The sequence below is a fragment of the Homo sapiens genome, chromosome 12, assembly GCF_000001405.40.
Source record: "Homo sapiens chromosome 12, GRCh38.p14 Primary Assembly".
Taxonomy (NCBI): Eukaryota; Metazoa; Chordata; class Mammalia; order Primates; family Hominidae; genus Homo; species Homo sapiens.
In genome coordinates this window covers 127458517-127479084 of record NC_000012.12, presented here as the reverse complement: position 1 = coordinate 127479084, position 20568 = coordinate 127458517, and the positions used below count along the sequence as shown (strand labels likewise).

Genomic DNA, 20568 nt, shown 5'->3' with positions numbered 1-20568 from the left:
AAAAGCATATCCACTAGGAAGACGTGTGATAAAGTACTCATTTTAATTTTGAATATTCAACCTGTGAAAGAGAAACTCTGTGTACCTGTGAACTTTTCCAAATGAACGCACGGTGACATCTCTGAGATTTCTTGCCCTTTCCTTGTTCATTCACTTGCCTTTTTTTTCTTCTAAGAAAGTTGAACTCTAAGCAAATTTGTACCTTGAGATATATATATATATGTATATATATGTATATATATAAATTTTTAGATGTAATATAAAATATAATAAATACATAATGTTAATTTATATGGTTTTTCCATCAAAGGTATATATATGTGTGAGTGTGTATGTATATATATGTGTGTATATATACATACATACATATCAATTTAATATTATTGATGTCTGTATGTATATATGTCTATATATACATACATACATATCAATTTAATATTACTGTATGAAATAATTATTTCAGTTTTTCTACTAGTAGAGCTGCCACGGAGTTTCTATTGCTGTTGTCGTTTAATATATATCCTTTTTTTAGAGGCAGGGTCTTGCTGTGTCACCCAGGTTGAAGTGTAGTGGAATGACCTTGACTCACTGCAACCTCTGCCTCCCAGGTTCAAGTGATCCTCCCACCTCAGCCTCCTGAGTAACTGGGACTACAAGTGTTAACCACCGTGCCCGGCTAATTTTTGTATTTTTGTAGAGACAGGGTTTCCCCATGTTGCCCAGGCTGGTCTCAAACTTGTGAGCTCAAGCGATCATCCCACATCGGCCTCCCAATGTGCTGGGATTACAGAAGTGAGTCACCACGCCCGGCCAGATCTCTGCCATTTTTTCATTTGGTTGTTTCTTGTTGAGTTGTAAGAGTTTCTTTCTGTATGTTTGCATACAAATCCTTTACCAGATGTGTTTTGCAAATATTTTCTCCCAGTATTTGACTTTTAAAAAATTCTATTAACTTTCTGAAAGCAGAAGTTTTGATTTTAATAAAGTCAAACTTATCTTTTTTTATGAATCATGCTTTTGAAATGTTATCTAAAAACTCATCATCACAGGCAAGTTTGTTTAGACTTTTTCCCATGTTATCTTTTAGAAGTTTTATGGTACTCTATTTTGTATTAGATCTAAGATCCACTGTACATTATTTTTTGTGACAGTGGTAAGTACTGTGTGTGTCTGAATTCTTTTCTCTGGCCCCCACACCACTTTCTTTTGTGCATAGAATTGTTCCAGTACCAGTTGTTGAAATGACTCTTCTCCTGCATTTGTTCCTCTATCAAAAGTCAGTTGATTCTATTTGTGAGAGTCTATTGCTGAGGCCCTCTTCTGTTCCATCCACCCATTTGTCTTTTCTTTCTCCAATAGCACACAGTCTAGATGACTGGGCCTTCACAACGCCAGCAGCATCGGTCACCTCACTTTGTTCTTCCTGGGCATTGTGTGGCTACTCTTGCTTCCTGGCTTCATGGCTCTAGATGCTTCTGCCCCATGTAGTCACATTGGACATTAATTGTGATTATCTATATTTCCCTGTCTCTCCAGGTTTGGGGGTAACTGTGCTGTGACCTACAGTTTCTGATGTGCATAATAAAAGTCGTGGGTTTTCAGTTTGTTGAGCTCCTTTCTTGTTTTATGAATGGGAGTGGTGACTTTAAAATGATTCACATGTTGGAGGTGAAACCAGCAGTCTTGGATGTTGCATTCATAACTGAGCAAGCTCACTGGGATTGGAAAGCAGATTCTGAAGATGAAACCTAGTTGTTGGCCTTTTTAAAAAGCAATGTTAGGCTAGATTAATCATTTGCAAATGGTATTCTGCCATTTTATCTTAGTTCATACTATATTTTATGTTTTTTGTTGGCAATAACATTTCTGAAATAATTTTTATAATATGTAAAATTTATATACAGAAGAGAAATAAATGAAATCTTCTCTTGGTGGTTTTTAGGGTCAGAAAATTCTATTAGGTCTTGTATTAATCTGTTCCATGAGAGAAATGTCTCTTCTGCTACCCTGAATTTTAAACCATGCTACATAATGTAATTTAACCCCTGGTTTTTTTCTGAAACATGAAGCCATCGTAAAATAAGATTCTTCCATTGGAAAACATTAAACATAACAACTCATTTTCATTCATAATTTCAGATACATTTCTTTCTTCTTTTATTGCTATCTTTAGCAGCCCATAATTAAAATAAATTATTGAGCACCAAAAAATTACAGATTGATTAGCACAATTTCACGTACTTGGCAAGCAGGGAAAAATCCGGGCTGAAATGAAAGGGCAGGGGGCACAAGACTGCTGAGAACTGGAACCATCAATTGAACCTGTTTTAGTAAATTATTCTGACCTTTTGAAATCTTCCAATTGGTGATCAAATATCTCTATATCTATCTATCTATTTATCTATCTATCTATCTATCTATCTATCTATCTATGTATCCACACACATAAATGTCATAAAAAGAAGGATGGGGATGAGGGATTCTGACCTTAGAATTAACAAGAAACTTCTAAACGAAGAGATACAAGTTGTAATGGTCATCTGTTGCTTCACAAAAAGTTACCAAACAATGAATGCCTCAAAGCAACACACACTTTAACATCTCAGCGTTTCTGTTGGTCAGGAGTCTGGGTCTGGATTAACTGGATCCTCAGCTCAGGATCTTGCTGGATTGCAGTCAAAGTTGCAGGACTGCATTTTCATTTGAGGCTCAAGGTGACCCTCCATGCTCATATGGCTGTAGGCAGAACTTTGTTCCCGTGATCGCAGGACTGAGGCTCTCAGCTCCTAGAGGATGCCGACAGTTCCCCATCACGTGGCTTCCTCTATAGGCAGTTCACAATACAGCAAACATAGCAGCATGCTTCCTCAAGACCAGCAGGGAGTGGATCTGCTTATGTATATACGTGTGTGTGTGTATGATCATATAAATTTACATATGTAATATATAATGACATGCTCATATGCATTATAGAGATGGATAGATATAAATATAGATTTCTCTGTACATAAGTGACATATGTGTGTGTGTGATATCATAAAAGTAGTAACCCATCATCTTTGCCATATTATATTAGTTAGAGCAATTAATAACTCCCAAGCCCCACACCCACTCAGGGATAATATTATGTATAGGCATGAAAAGGAGGCAGGAGTCACTGGTGGTCACCCCCCTAGGCTTATGCCATCACATGTATTAAAATAGCATTTTATCGCTTCCTAAACACGGTATCAGCCTATACCCTTGATCCATGAATTAACTGTTGGATCTAGCCTCTAAAGGCAAGATCATTCGACAACACCACAGGCACTGTCCTGGGTGCTAAAAATCCAGGGGTGCCTTCTCTGGCCTGTTCTTTGTTCTCATGATGCTGATAGTCTAACGGGGACCTCAGCTAATAGATGCATAAGTAAATTAAAAAAATAAACACAACTGAGATTATTTCAGATGGACAATAGTTCTGTGAAGACGATAACGATGGATAATGACTCAGAAAGGAGCTGAGGTGGGATGTTCTCAGAATGATGAGGGAAATGGTCCCAGGAAAGGAAGTGCTTAAGTTGAGACCCGAGAAAAAAGGAGAAGCTGCAGGGTGTGGTGGCTCACGCCTGTAATCCCAACACTTTGGGAGGCCGAGGTGGGTGGAAGGCTTGGGCTCAGGAGTTTGAGACCAGATTGGGCAATATGGCGAAACCCCATCTCTATAAAAAAAAAAAAAATAGAAAAATCAGCTGTACCTGGTGGTGCACACCTCTAGTCCCAGATACTCGGGAGGTTGAGGTGGGAGGATCACCTGAGCCAAGGAGGGGGAGGTTGCAGTGAGCTGAGATCACGCCACTGCACTCCAGCCTGGGCAACAGAGTGGGACCCTGTCTCAAAAAAGAAAAATAAAAAAGAAAGAAAAATAAAATTAAGCGATGAGAAGAGGCCAGCCATGAAATATTGGAAGAAAGAGGCTTAAAGCCTGATAGCACAAAGAAAACAGTGGTGATGTGGAAGTAAGTCCGGTTTTTCAAGAAGCCAACAGAAGTCCCTTGTGACTGTAAAACAGTGAGAAAGGATAAAGGCCTAGGAGGAGAGAGGAAGAGGAGGCGATGGTTTTGAAGAAATTCTTGTCGTTGGGAGTATTCAGCTTGACATTTTACTCATAGAAAGAGCAGGTCCTTTAATACACAGGCAAAATTCCTGCAAATTTTCAGAGAAAAGTAGTGCCTTTCTATATTTTCACTCAATGAAAGCTATAAATAGCATCTATAAATCATCACCAATTTCCAAACCCAGGAAATCTAAAATGACCAGTTTCACTGGCTGATTGTTTAACTTTTCGCCTCTGGAGAAAGTGCTTCTAATATTGATCCTGACATTCAAACCTCAGGGCAGGAAGGAAGCTCCTTTGTCAAAACCCAATAAAGCACAATTACTGTGTAAAGGTGTGATTTTCTATTTGGATAAAACACTCAAATACACTTATTAAGTAGCACATGCAACAGCATTGCCACGGGGGAGCAAAAGTCATAGCTAGAGACTCTGGAGGTGGCTGGCAAATTTTCTTATACTGTGTTACAAACTTACTTCAAGTCAATAGACACTTAATGAGTGCTTACAAGCTGACAGTCCTGTGCTAGGTGCTGTGGACACAGACAGTCCCAAGTCAGCATCCTGTCTGCAGAGAGCTCCCCATGGGAGACAGGGGCATGCATGGGTGAGGTGTAATATACTGGCTTAAGAGCTAGCCTAGAAGTTTACATAAAATAAGAACAAAAAAAGAAAAGTTATTAATTCTCTGCAAAGAGAATCGTGGATTTAGAAAACTGAGATAGAATCCCAATTTTGTATAATTAAAAAAGAAAGTATACCTAGGTTTGCAATTTTAGAGTGTACAAATGACACCATTCCGTAACTCATTATCTTCCTGCTTCTTGTTTAGGAAGTTTTAAAATCTTTCATTTATAATAAATGACAGCGATAGTCATTTTAAAACACAGTAGAGGCAGAACCTTTTTTTCCTAATAGACCTTACGTGGAAATACATGGCATGTTCCACGTTCGGAATAGATTTGATGAAATAGTCTTAGATCAATGCCCTCCAGACACGAAAGTAATATGACAATGTGTCCCCTGCCTCTCTGTTTAGCCCCGTCTCTTTGAATTTCCTGAAAACCACTTATAACACAACTCATTATAAAGCAATTACAAAATATTAAAGAGGCAAATTGAGCCAGTTCCCCATAATCCACTGGCACACAGCAGATATATTTTACACACTATCACACATACACACACACAGCTATAAAACCCACACAAAGTGATGAGAAAAGGAGGCGGCTATTCAAGGGTTTCTTGGAAATCCACGAAGTACAAAGAGGAATTCTTTCAGACTCATAAGGAAGAGCCTTACGTTTGCCACCTTCGTCACCTAAAACTCTCTCCTGAGTTTCCCAGAGCCATTGCCTCACTCCTGGGTCAAATCAAACACCTCATCCTCAGTCTTCTAGCGGCCACTCTGGGATCTGCCAGTCAACTTATCACTTTCTAAAACTAAAGACTGGTGTCCTTGATGTAACTTTCCATTGCTATTAGGGCAAAGGTCAAACTATTTAACACGGCCTCTGAGGCCTCAGCTCCCTCAGCCACTCCCACCCTTCCAATCTCCTGCAACACTCCCCTTTGTTCTCTGCATCCAGCCATACTTTCCCCCTTTTTTCCACCCCCACCCACCTGTCACCCTTTCACTGGTTGCCTCTGTCCAGTCCTTCTGCTCTTAGCTCATGTGTCACCTCCCTGAAGAAACCTTCTACACCTTTCAGACAAGGCTACTGTATTAGTCAGGGTTCTCTACAGGGACAGAACTAATAGGATACAGGGAACTAATAGGATGAAGGGAAGTTTATTAAGTATTAATTCACATGATCACAAGGTCCCACAATAGGCTGTCTTCAAGCTGAGGAGCAAGGAGAGCCAGTCCCAGTCCCAAAACTGGAGAACCTGGAGTCTGATGTTCAAGGGCAGGATGCATCCAGCATGGGAGAAAGATGCAGGCTGGGAGGCTAGGCCAGTCTAGTCTTTTCACGTTTTTCTGTCTGCTTTACGTTCTAGCCATGCTGGAAGCTGATTAGATGGTCCCTTCCCAGATTAAGGGTGGGTCTGCCTTTCCCAGCCCACTGACTCAAACATTAACCTCCTTTGGCAACACCCTCACAGACACACCAATATTTTGCATCAGGATCAATACTTTGCATCCTTCAATCCAATCAAGTTGACACTCAGTATTAACCATCACAGTTACTATGGCCTTCTTGAATACTCCCTGTCTTAGAAACATGAAGCCCATTCAAATTTTTGTGTTATATGCCTGTCTTAATGAACAGAAGTGACTTCCATAAGGACAGAGACTACAGCTGACTCACTCCATTCATACCATCTGACAATGCCTGGCATGGCCAGGCACAGTGGCTCACGCCTGTAATCCCAGCACTTTGGGAGGCTGAGGTGGGCAGATCACGAAGTCAGGAGATCGAGACCATCCTGGCTAACACAGTGAAACCCCATCTCTACTAACAAAAAAAAAATACAAAAAATTAGCCAGGCATGGTGGTGGGCACCTGTAGTCCCAGCTACTTGGTGGTCTGAGGCAGGAGAATGGCGTGAACCCCGGAGGCGGAGCTTGCAGTGAGCCAAGATTGCACCACTGCACTCCAGCTTGGGTGACAGAGCGAGACTCTGTCTCAAAAAACAAAACAAAACAAAAACCAAACAAACAAAAAAATACCATGCCTGGCACATGGTAAGTGCTTCATCAAACTTAGGCTGGAGAAATGAAAGACAGTAGAGGGGAAGATGCAGACAAGACTGAAAATGGTAACGAGATCTCCGGACAGAGATGTAAATTTAGTATCTTATGTATACAATGTCTATAACTAGGAATTACCCTATACAATATATAAAGAATTTCTGCTAATCATTGAGTGAAAGAAGGAACACTTAAAACATCCAGCGAATATGAGTAAGCAATTGCAGAAGAGGAAACATATAAAGCTAACACCCACATGACAAGGTTTTCAAACTCATCAGTATTTATAAAGTGCAAATTATAAAAAAACAACATATTATATGACAATTTTTGTTTGTTTTTTGTTTTTTTTAATTATACTTTAAGTTTTAGGGTACATGTGCACAATGTGCAGGTTCGTTACATATGTATACATGTGCCATGTTGCTGTGCTGCACTCATTAACTCTTCATTTAACATTAGGTATATCTCCTAATGCTATCCCTCCCCCCTCCCCCCTCCCCACAACAGGCAAGACACATGCACACATATGTTTATTGCTGCACTATTCACAATAGCAAAGACTTGGAAACAACCCAAATGTCCAACAATGATAGACTGGATTAAGAAAGTGGCACATATACACCATGGAATACTATGCAGCCATAAAAAATGATGAGTTCACGTCCTTTGTAGGGACATGGATGAAGCTGGAAGCCATCATTCTCAGCAAACTATCGCAAGGACAAAAAACCAAACACCGCATGTTCTCACTCAGAGGTGGGAATTAAACAATGAGAACACATGGACACAGGAAGGGGAACATCACACACCGGGACCTGTTATATGACAATTTTTAATTAGGACAACTTACGAAGATGAATAATGCCAAATATTTCCAGGGATGGGTGGATTTCAGCACCCACATTTGTTGCTGACTTGAACATGAACTGGCTCAGCCATCTGGAGAGAAGTCAGATAGTTCTTACTCTATTGAGTGCACAAAAGGCCTATTAAATAGAAGCCCCCACACAATAATATGTACCAAAGCAACCCTCCAAGTGAAGCGCCTTTCCCAAGAGCATGGAGCTGGTGAGTAACAAAGCTTGGGTTTGACTCCAGCCACCTGGCTCTAGAGTCCATGTTCTTAGCCACTATGCTATGCAGACAGGGAAAAGGTTAGCAAAAATCAACATCTAATACTCTAAGCAAAGCCTGAAGAACACCGAGTTCGCCTCTGAAATGTTCAGCTCTCAAATCACAATATGATATGAGACTGGTACTTTCTATAAGACGAATGACAATAGTTTTTCATGGCTACAGGGACTAAGAGAAATTATGCTAATGGGTGTCTCGGAAGAAAATCTTTAGAGACACAAAGGCATTTACACACACAGACAAGATGAACTTTATCCAGATGCTTCCTATCCAACTTTTAAAACAAAGGGAGGGGGGTACACCACAAAAGGGCATTCCAATAAAAGAGATTCCACAGGGAACAAAGTAGTGTAGTTCCAGAGAAGCCAATTGCTGCTGGATGGTAAGACTTCACAGAGAGAGAACCTAGAACATGACCATAGAGAATAGCTTGTACAGTTGGCCCGTCATATCCTTGGGTTCTGCATCCATGGATTCAACCAACTGCAGGTGGAAAATACAGTATTACTGAAATGCAGAACTCACAAATGTGCAAGGTTGACTCTAATTCTTACCCTTAAGAACATTATTTTGTTGTAAAACCTCTTCCTAAGAGCAGCTGAATTCTTAATAAGAGTTAAGAAGCATAGTTTGAGATTATATATTTCTGACGAGCTTCTATGCACATGCGTATTCTATAGTGAAGGCAAAAGCATGAAACTTAAGACACAGTAGGAAGTACTAATCATTTCTTTCATGATTTCTACAATGGCATTTATGATGAGAAAATCCTTCCCCTAGGCAAGATGGTGAGGTTTAATTTTATGTGTCAATCTGGGCCACAGGGTGCCCAGATATTTGGCCAGATGTTATATTGTGTGTATCTTCAAGGGCATTTCTGGATGAATGAACATTTGAGTGGCTGAACTTTGAGAAAAGCAGATTGCCCTCTCCAATGTGAGTGGACATCCTCCAATCAGTTGAAGAGCTGAAAAGAATAAAAATGTTGAATAAGAAGCAACTCTCTTGGCCTGACTGATTGAGATGAGATATTGGCCTTTTCTGTGCTTCAGTTTTGGACTGAAACCTCAGCTCTTCTTAGTTTTCAGGGCTGCCAACATTCAGACTGAAATTTATACTATCAACTCTCCTATTTATCAGGCCTTTGAACTTGGACTGAAAGTACACATCCACTCTCCTGGGTCTCCAGTTTGTTGACTGTAGATCTTGGGACTTCTCAGTCTTCATAACCATATGAGCCAATGTCTTTCTCATATATATATATATATGTATATATGAATATATATTTTTATATATGAATATATATTTATTCATGAAAATACATATATATGTATTTTATGTACGGGTGTATATATATACACACATAAAATTGCATAACATTGTATATATTATATATAAAATAAGGAGATAACTCAAATTATTGGCTCTGTTTCTCTGGATAATTCTAATAAAGATCAGATATTCATATTCACATATATGAAAAATGTATACATATATATATAATATATTCTTCTAGTGCTATCTCTGTGTGTATGTCTAGCTAGCTGCAGATTTTAAATTTAGCTCTGGAATTCCTTTAAAATTTATTTTGGCATATGATGTGAAATGGGAACATGATCATAAATCACAGACTGACATCTGCTGAATTTTTTCTAAATTCAACAAGCAGAGGAATGATTCCTTCCTGTAAAAATTTTCAAAATTAAATTGAAATATTCAGTTTTTGGCAGAGCAGTTGCACTCTAATTAACATGCATCTCTCAATCTCCATTTTAAACTCAGATTTCACTCAATTATCATACTGGCCGAAGTAGTGACCCTAACAGTGTTTTCCCAAATTGCCAGTTATTTTCTCCATACCATGTTCAAATAACTTGTTGCTTTCTCCTTAATTCATACTAGATTTTATAAATACTAGTGTCTGCTTTTGAGTGGTGTATTATATTGCATTGATTTGCGCCTCTAAGTGCTAGTACCAAGACAGTTTGATTCATGTAGTCTTACAATATATTTTATTATATGGGAGTATTATTGTCTTCTCAACAACCTTCTATATCACCATTTTATTGATGATAAAATTCCTTCTTCTTAAAAATTAACTGTAGAACTTTTGGTTAAGCTCCTTCTGCCAACAATAAATTTAGATTTTGATCACGGATATGGGTGTGAACAGTATGATGATGACTGTCTTTGGTTATATTTTAATGCATTTACAAACACAAAAGTTACATAATATGTGACTTAAAATATTGGATGTTCTCTTTTCTGAAGAATCCATGGCCATGAATCCATGCATTCAGCTCACATGTCCACAGATACCCCACTAAATACCACTGAAGTATCAAAACAAATACTTTCCAGCAAACAGTGTAAGATGCAAACCATCAGCAAGAGAAAGTGTTTATCTAAAACAGTGGAAGATGGAGAGTGGACAAAAACTGTTAAAGTGTAAGATGGAACAGAAACAAAAGACACCACAGTCTGGAGAACAGTGAAGATGCCAAGAGGGTCCTCTTTGGAATCCCACAGGGGCCCCTGATTCCACATTGGCAAATATAGTGGTAGATGGGAGAGAAAAGTGAGGTTGAATGCAAGAAAACTGATTAACATTTTGTGTATGGAATATTCATCTCCATTTCCCTACCTCCCCCCACTGAGTAGAAGTTAGAATGCTTTGTATTTACCTCAGTGGAAAACAAAGCAAAGGAATCTTCTCTAAATAAATTTAGCTAACCTCCAAATGCCAAGCTTTCCAGTGTCGTTGCTGATGCTGGCATCTTGAGAAGAAACTGAGGTGGAGCAGGAATTCTGCAATCACTGTGACCCGACGTTATACATTCAGCATGGTGGTGTACAAAGCCAGAAAGGACCTAGATCCTTGATAACTCTCTTGAATAGCCCTGGAGCACTTACCTCTGGATTCTTCATTATGTTGAGAATTAAACAAATCTCTATGTAGCTAAGCAACCGTAGAGAAGTTTTCTGTTACTTGCAGCTCAAGACAATTCTCAATGATATACTGGAAAGTAAGAGGCAGAAAAAGTATGCTAAATCCTTAGCTTCTATAAATATATTTAAGGAAGACATAGATGTGTTAACATTATTTAGTGTTACAGAAGTAATTACAAAAAGAAATAAAAGTAGGAGATGTTAGATGTGCCTGCCTCTGGACAGGGAGCAAACTGTAGAGAGGGACTGATGGTCATCTGAATTTATTTATTTTGTAATTGACAGATAACAATTAAATATATTTATTGTGTACAGAATAATGTTGTAACTATATATATATATATATATATATATATATATATATATATATATACACATATCTTATGGAATGGCCAAATAGAGCCCATTAACCTATGCATCACCTCACATTTCATTTTTTGTAGTGAGAAGACTTAAAATCAACTCTCAGCAATTTTTGAGAACACATCATTATTAACTATAGTCACTATGTTGTACAACAGTTCTCTTGAACTTATTCTTCCTGCTCTATTTTTACTGTATATGTGTATTACTTTAACAACAGTAGAAAAAATACTTTTTGTTACATACAAACTTGTATTCTATATCTATATTTTAAGCAATCAATATATTTGAATTATGGAAAGTGAAGAGGCTAGCCAAGATGCTCACCTTAAGAACACCTTCAGCCTCTGCACAATGACAAAAGTCACAAGCCCCTGCAGAGAGGTCCAAGATTTCCCTTAGAAAGCAGTTCTTAAATGAGATTGAAATGCAATGTGATTAAGCGCTATAATAAAATAATTCCAAGTGTTATGAAAGCAACCAGCTGGATCAACTAATGACCTAGAGAATTTTTAGGGACCACTTCATGGAAGAGATAACATTTGCACTGAATCTTGAGGATTAAGGAGGAGTTTGCCAGTCAGAGCAAGGACAGGCAGAAGACGTTGCAGAAAACTTGGGCCAGTCTGACAAAAGCACACAAATGTAAAAGGCCATCGGGCACTGCAGAAAAGACATTGAGTATCCGAAAGGAAATTTGCAGGAGGTGGCATCAGCTATAAACTCAGGTAGGAAATAGGTTGAGGCCAGCTTATAAATAATAATAACAAATCCGCCTGTAAGCCACCAGCACTCTCTTCTCTTGCTCTCTCCTCAGTTGGTGTCCACGCTCTGATATTTGTTTCAGATGTACAGTTACCCCCAGTACCTGCCCAGTATGTCATCAAGTGCATCTTCCTTCTGTCTTAGAACTCCTCCAGAAACACAAATAAAGCAAGGACAATGAACCTGGCTTTCTCTTTTGGGTTCAGACAAAAGTCCCGACACTAGAGGGATCTCATTTAGGCTTGTTATTCCAGACATCAAACATTGAAAGCCAATAATTTGTTTCTAATTTATATCTCAGAAGAAGAGGAGACTTCCTTAAACTGAGTAGAGTTCAGCTCCATAAATATAAAAAGTAGCCACGCAGGTAAATTTATCGCTGAACAGCCGGTTGCAATTAGAAACGTGGTGAAATGGCAGAGAGAGGCATTGTTTTTGTGGCAGAAAGAGTTTGCTGTATACTCAATTACCATGTATGTTTCTGCAAATTATTAAGAGGGGCAGTTAGGGCTACGGTCTATAGGGACTGTTTCACAGCCTCCCTAGCTTTGCTTCCAGATGTGGTACTAGTTGTAACCAATGGGATGTGAGCAAAAGAAATGAGTATCACTTCCAAGTTAGATGGTTTAGATGTGTCTACACATCTCTCTCTTTCCCTCCATCAGCTGGAGAAGATAATTTAAAGGCCCTAGGCCATGGCAGAAATTAAGACAGGGAAGTAAACCACGTGCCAACCATCATCAGTGATGTTAGATCATTGTGGGTGTAAGAAATACAACTTTGAACACGGAAAGCCACTGAAATGCGGAGGTTCATTTGTTACAGCAGCAAGAATTACTTACTCAACACAGTTTTTAATTGGTACAACTATGACCCTTTAACCTGATAAAAAGTTGAAATAAATCACATGGCTCTTTCTTAATCAACATTGCAGTTTCATGGGCTAAGTGGAGATGAAAAGGCATAACGTGAAACCAGAGTGAAGGGATTTGAAGTCGATGTGTTAGATGCCCACAAGGATCCAGATGTGAAACTAGCATGCATTACTACAAATATTAAGTAGAAAAATTAGACCTTAATCTAATAGGAATTTTAATCATTTATAGGCAATATCAGCTGTTGAGCAGTAGAAAATTGTGTACACCTTGTTCCAATTTACATTTATATTTATTCCAAATTGGACATTTCAGAGACTGTTTAGATAGTATCAGAAATGTGCTAATAATTCAGAAAACTCTGTTATTAACTGATTAGGGGCAGCTGAGGCTTATAACAGAGGCCAAAAAAAAAATCCATGTTGGAAATCTAAGTCTGTCATCAACTCATATTATCTAGTGAGACAAATCACTTAATCTCTCTGAAATTCAATTTCGCCCCCGTCACATGGGATCTACTTCCTAATATCCACCAAGAACACCATGAAGTAACTCAATTGTTTGCCCCATAAACATAAGAGTCAGCTCAGATAAATGTCATAGTCGAGTTCATTTACTTAGGGATTCGAATTCAAACTGGCCTTCATTCACTCGCTCTTTCCATCCATCTACAAGGATTCTTCCCATTGTGATGAAACAAAAAGTTCAATTCAAATGAGCTTAAACAAAAGTTAATGACAGTCATAAATGGAATGTCTAGAGATAGAGTGACTTCCAATCACAGCTGAAAATCAAAGTTCAGAAAACTTCATTTAGACATTTTTACTCAACTCATAACTGATTTCAACGGTGTCAGATCCTTATTCAATCTCCTTTTCATGGGAAGAAAAATATCATGTTTGATTTCCTTCAAGTTCAGCAAGAACTACTAAAAACTGATTTCCAAGAAGTACCCAAAGAAGAATTTTGCGAATCTCCTTGTATCATCAGATGTGTTATGTGCCCATCTTTAAACCAATCACTTGAATTAGGAGAATAGAATTTGCTGATGAGCCCAGCCATGGTCATGTGACCCACCCTGGGCACCTGAAGTATATCAGTTTTCCCTGATCCACAGGCTACGCGAGAAGTGCATCCCCCAAAGTACTCATCAGAGTATTTTTGTGACAAGACAGCAAGCGATATTAGGTAGAGATGATCAAAACCAACATAAATGCCTACTCAACGCATTGCTCAAAGCAACAAAATGCATCTAAAAATATAATTATTCAATGGCAAGCCTATTTACAACCTGATAAAACTGTTGATGCTGGAAAAGAAACACCAAGAGTATGCCCCTGATGGTACAGACACAAAGGTAATTGCCTCAGAGAAAAAACTTGCAGTTGGGATTCAACAGGATATTTTCGAATCATAAGATGGAGAGCATGAGCTCAGTACCCACAATAAATCAATGCCCAATTGCAATCGAGTACCCCTATTTTCCTAATAGTTTAATTATTTTTAAATTATTTTCTCTTCTTTTTCTCCTTTCCCCTTTCCCACTTGCTGCTTCCCACTTAGTCCTTCAGAGACGAAAATACAGCCTTTTACCTCTTCCTTCACCAGATACTTCTTAGAGGACAAGATCATCTAATTCCTGAAGAGCTAACAATCGATTTACAGACCCAATCATGCCCGCTGTGGAATATTCACTTCCAGGGGTTGCCTCAGAACTTCCAGCCTCTGGGAGGGTATATCAAAAGTATGCCTGCTTAACCATTTTTACATCTTACTTCTGCCCAGGAAGGTGCCAACTCAACCGTCAGGTAGATAAGGCACCGAGCTAGCAGGAGGAACCCGTCCCTTGCTCACTGACCCTCACTGCCTTATGGAAGTGTTTGCTTTCTGCTCCAAAAGGGAAATGGCACATTTATTAACTCATTTCATCCTTAAAGATGCTTTGTGCCCCTTCCCCCAAGCTAGCTTCAGAATAAATTTACTTTTGTTATACCAGACCTCACTCTGGCTAACTGGACTCTGCATGTGACAAGCAACTGACCTGCTTTTTGGTTACACATTGAATGTCCAATATGCTTACTTTAGATACTGAGTCTTCATCGATGATGTCAGTAAGACAGAGATACTGTAAGAAGTATCCATAAGTTACCCAACCAGGAATATGGCCCTGCCCCTGCCCCAGCTCCCTCCACTTAGCTGGCATGCATGTCCACCCAGACATGCAGCTGGATCTGCGTGGTTACTGTTATCTTTGGTGGGTGCCTACATTCTAAGGTTCCCCACAGTTCCCACCATTCCCTGTTGTCCACCTCCTCCCCTGGCCCAGCCCCCTTCCCTCATCTGTATCCTGTTCTAGCCCTCTCATTATACTGAGGAGTCTGCCTTACATGTGACCAACACTGAAAAAAGTGGGGCTGGGAAATAGATGTGGGTTCCTCACAGCTCACTTGAGCAGAACCAGGGTCAGTTTATAGCCCCAGACCTGACCTTTCTTTGTAAATAATAACACACTTGTAATCCTAACTAGCTTGAGGGGGTCAACATCATGTATGGAATATTGTGCATCCTTTTCCCAATGCAGACCATTGTTTTCAAGCACATGAAGGAAGATGAAACACATGGTGCCTGGTGATGTGACATATTCCTAGAGAACATGTTTTAATGATTCATTGAAAGTATGTTATCATGGCCATATCAATGGTATGCATGCGAATGGGTATTTCTCAAATGCCCACACAGCATAATTTCAAGTACCATCAACATCCCTTCAGCATTTATGCTTACATGACTAAATTGCTTGGTCAATGCTTTTCTTCAATGTACAAACATAGCTTTCTTACAAAGCACAAACTTAAGTGTAGGTCTCTATGTGAATTAACTTATCAAGGCAATCAAAAGTCAAGGTTGGGAAAGAACAACAACAACAAAAAAAAGTGAAAGACAAACAGCCATGGCCTTGAGGGACTTATGATTTAGAAAAAGAAAAAGTTATTGTTGGAAATATATATAGATAGAGAGACAGATGAAATATAAACTAACAATAAAAGAAAATCCAAATTAAACTGTTTGATTAAAGTTTTACACATTGCCAGAGCTCAGAGAAAAGAAGAGATCAATATTGTCTGGAGATTATCATGAATGTATCATCAGCAGAATCCAATAAGTGAAATGTCATTGCAATAACTAAGAATTATTTATTACATGCTAGGTGTTGTGGAAACACTTTGCATTTATTAATTCAATTCATCCTTAAAGAATCCTGCAAAGTAGATACTATTTTACAGAAAAGGAGACTGAGGTAAAAAGAGTTAAGTCACTTGTTTAAAATACAAGGCTAGTAAGTGATGGGGACACAATTTCAACCACCTGGTTCTAAACAAAGTCCATTCAATGAACTAACACTCTACTGCCTCCTTTTACCTGTGAGAGATCCTATCCACTATCCTGTTTGCCCTGACATCCTGAAGTCATTGATTTACCTTTCTTCCTTTATGACCTTATTTACAGCAGCTGGTTCTGGATTTTACCCAAATCTGGATGCAGTAACTGCTTTCTATAAAAAGTGAGAAGCAGAAAATCTCTATAGATTTATACATAATTACAGGGGTCTATATACGGGACATTGTCACAGGGGATGTGACAACCAAAGTGAAGAGAGATGTGAAGATGTGAGGCTGCTGGCTTTAAAGAGACCATGAGTAAAGCAATTAAAAAGGAAAAGTCAACTCTAGAAGCTGGACAAGGCAAGAAAAGGAAACATCCCCTAAAGCCTTCAAAAGGAACCAGTCTTGCCAACATCTTGGTTTTAACCTTGTGAGACGCATTTCACACTTCTGACCTCCAGAATTGTAAAGAATAAACTTACATTGTTTTAAAGCAGGAAGTGTGTAGTTATGTGTTACAGCAGCAGTGGGAAACTAATACGTTATGTTGCTTTCATCTTTCTTTTTTTTGGTTCAGTTGCTGGCCAACCCTTTTCTATTAGTAAAGAATTTAGAGGCCGGGTGCGGTGGCTCATGCCTGTAATCCCAGCACTTTGGGAGGCCGAGGCGGGCAGATCACAAGGTCAGGAGATCAAGACCATCCTGGCTAACACGTTGAAACCCCGTCTCTACTAAAAATACAAAAAATTAGCTGGGTGTGGTGGCAGGCGCCTGTAGTCCCAGCTACTCAGGAGGCTGAGACAGGAGAATGGCGAGAACCCGGGAGGCAGAGCTTGCAGTGAGCCAAGATCACACCACTGCACTCCAACCTGGGCGACAGAGCAAGACTCTGTCTCAAAAAAAAAAAAAAAAAAAAAAAAAAAAGAATTTAGAGGGATTGGCTTGTGTATATGTGCATCCACATGACTGTCCCCCTGCAGTTGGAAATGCTTTGTCTCTTCTTAAATACACATCTTCAAAACACCAAGCAGGGTCTCACCCACGTCATGCTCTCATACCAGTAGTTGACTATGCAAGTAAGCAACTCAGGATGAAGAAAAAATGATAGAACTGCAGGTGAGGTCACATCAACATGACAATACCTCCTGGTTTGACTGGCTGGGAAGGCTGCCAGATGACAACACTACATCCAACCAGAATTCACTGAGCTAAGAATTTTCATGAGCCCATTAAAAGCCAATGGTACCCTATTCATCCAGCCTGTCCTCTACTTTCTCATTCTCTTGCCAAATAGCATAATAGAGCCCCTCGTGGGTCCCTTCTGCTGGGTCCATTGACTTTCCTCCCAGCAATCCCATCAGAAAATGAACTATCTGAACAGAAGCTCCAGTTCGTTTGTTATTGTTGTTGTTTTTGAGTCAGAGTCTCACTCTGTCACCCAGGCTGGAGTGCAGTGGCAGGATCTTGGCTCACTGCAACCTCTGTGGATTCAAGTAGTTGGGATGACAGGCACATGCCATCATGCCCGGCTAATTTCTGTATTTTTAGTAGAGACAGGGTTTTGCCATGTTGCCCAGGCTGGTCTCGAACTCCTGACCTCAAGTGATCCTCTCGCCTGGGCTTCCCAAAGCGCTGAGATTACAGGTGTGAGCCACCAAGACCTGCCCACAAGCTCCAGTTCTGAGGCACACAGGGCAAGATCCCCTGAGGCCAGCAGCTGCTTTCTCACCTCTCAGGGGTCGCTAAGAGCATGGTGATTTTCTTCCATGGTGCTGTCATAGTTCCTTCCATAAGGCAAAATAAAACTGCTCAGGTAGATTTTCTCACCTGGAAAATGTAGGCTTTTAGCTTCCATTTACAAGTAAACTTAATGGTTTGTCCGAAATATTTTGAGGTTGAAATATTTTGAGGTTGCCGTAAGTCCAGAGGCACAACATTTTCCATAATGAAGGTCTGTAGTTAACATGTAATATTGAAAACCACTTAGCTTTGTATGTAAAAAAATGATTTAGCTCCTGATGGTTTCCTTATGCAAAAAGGGGGTTTCTGAATTTCTCATACAACAGATCCCAGGTAGGTAAGGTATTGGTGAGAAGAGTCTATGCTGATGGTGAGCCCTTGGGGCTCCAATGCTAAAGTAAAAGGAAAGAAAAAGACAAAGGCAGAATTACTAACAGGACTCTTGGGAACTGAGTTAGGCCACAAGCAGTTTACGAATGAGCAGCAGAAATTTTGAACTCCATTTGGTTTGAAATGTCATCTTCCTTCTGGGAACTGCCCGTAAATGACGCTACAAGATCCATTGATGATTATCTGTATCTAATGACAATTTGCCAAGTTAAGCATGAGTTGAAGGTGTTGTCTGTCTGAATGATGGAACGTGTAGTGTATTTAAATGGACTTTTACTTCCTCCTCTCTCATTCAGGGTTTGCTTTCTGTGCACAGCCCTGAACCAAGACCCACACTTCTCTCATTTAAATTCTCATGTTCCCTTCCCCATCCTTGAGTAAACCAGCCAAGGAACCCGAATCTCTGCCCGACTCAGGCCTTGCATCCCTTTAGCTGTGGACCCAGGATCCACCAAAACCCAAATACAGAAAGGCTTTGGGCAAGGTTAGCCACATCCCCCAAAAGTATGATTCCCCAGACGTCCGGATGAGGGTGCAAGGAGTGATACCTTTTGCTAAGGTGGAACCACTATGCTAACGCAACAAGGTGAGGAGATCAAGGACCAAGAGCTGCCTGAGTTGTCCATACAGGGCCACCATCCACCAGAAGCAGACCAGCTCCAGCTCAGAGCCAAGCCTGCTCACAAGCCCTGGGGTTGAGACGAGAATTCCCCCAGGCATAAAGTTTCCTGGGCCACCATCTTGGAGAGTGGAAACTCAGCCCAGTTTATGGGAATTCCCGGAAGTCCCGCCCAGGAATTTCCGCTGGCCTCTCATTGGCCAGACCTTGTCAGCTGGCTGCACTGCTGGGAAATACAGCGTTTTGTGTTTGCCGGTTTGTTTTATTTTCTTTTTAGCTGGGCACATTAGCAGCAGGGTTCTGCAAGTAAAGGACAGAATTGTTTAAACTGGCAATACAAAGATTTGGTGAGAGTGAAGAGCAACTGGGAATCATAGGTTGATGCAAAAGTAATTGCGGTTTTTGCCATTCCTTTTATGGCAAAAACACACACACACAATTACTTTTGCACCAACCTAATACATCAGTTGGAGAAAAGGTTGACAGTTTCTTACATGCTTAAATTTACACTTACAATATTGCCCAATTATTCTGCTCTTAGCATTTGTCAGAGACAAATTAAAGCATATGACCACATAAAGATTTGTCCATGAATGTTTGTAGTAGTTTTGTTCATAACAGCAATGCCTAGAAACAATGCAATGTTCATGAACACATGAGAAGGTAAACAAATGGTGGTAAATAAACTCCCAGCAACAAACACTACTCTGCACTAAAAATGAAGTGAGTCACCGATTCACATAACAACAGGATGAATCTCATAAACGTTTGTGAAGTGAAAGAAGCTAGAAACAATATGCTGTATGAATCTACTTACATGATAGTCCAGAAAAGGCAGATCTAATGTATAGTGGCAGAAAGCAAATTGGTGTTTGCTGGGTCTGGAGTCTGTGGGAGTATTGACTGTGAAAGGGAATGAGGAAACTTTCAGGATGAATGGAGTATTCTGTGTGTTGATTGTGATGGTGTTTGAACAGATGTATGTAGTTGCCAAAATGTATTAACTGTGCACTGAAAATGGGTGTGTTTTAATGCATATAAATGATATCCCCAGATTAAAAAAAATACATTTGATAAAACAAAAATACACAGTACATAAATCCACTCCAAATACGACCACTTATCACCACCCACCGCACTTCCACCATAGTCTAATTCAACCATCACCTTCTACCTGGATAACTGCAAGAGCCCCAACCAATTGACCTACTTCTACTCTTGGGCCTTGGTGCCTGATCTCTCCTAGAAGCCAGAGTGAGCCTTTAGTGAGCACGTTACGTCCCTCCCTGGCATAAAATTCTCCAAATATTTCCTTGGGATTAGAATAAAATTTAAAGTTCTTACCTCAGTATATCAAACAGGATTAGACTGAGCTGTGAGTCACAGAAGGTTCCAAAAATGCAGGGTCTTAAACAAGAGAGGAGTTTCATTTCTCTCTCATGCCACTGTAGCCTAGAGGCAATCAGCCCAAGTCTAGTTCCAGAGACCCAGATCCCCTTCTCTTGTTGCTTCACTGTGCCAAACTTCCATTCCTAAGCTCATTGTGTGGCCCCAAAT

The 20568-nt window shown here is 39.8% G+C and overlaps 1 long non-coding RNA gene across 1 annotated transcript; it reads right to left on the bottom strand.

Annotated features, from left to right (window-relative positions):
* Positions 1 to 8594: 8594 nt before the first annotated feature.
* Positions 8595 to 19137, bottom strand: LOC105370066 (uncharacterized). The gene is made up of 3 exons (XR_945526.2): positions 18090 to 19137; positions 10841 to 10946; positions 8595 to 8894 (listed from the first exon to the last, which is right to left on the bottom strand). It is a non-coding gene; the product is annotated as an uncharacterized LOC105370066 (long non-coding RNA).
* Between the last annotated feature and the right edge of the window lie 1431 nt (positions 19138 to 20568).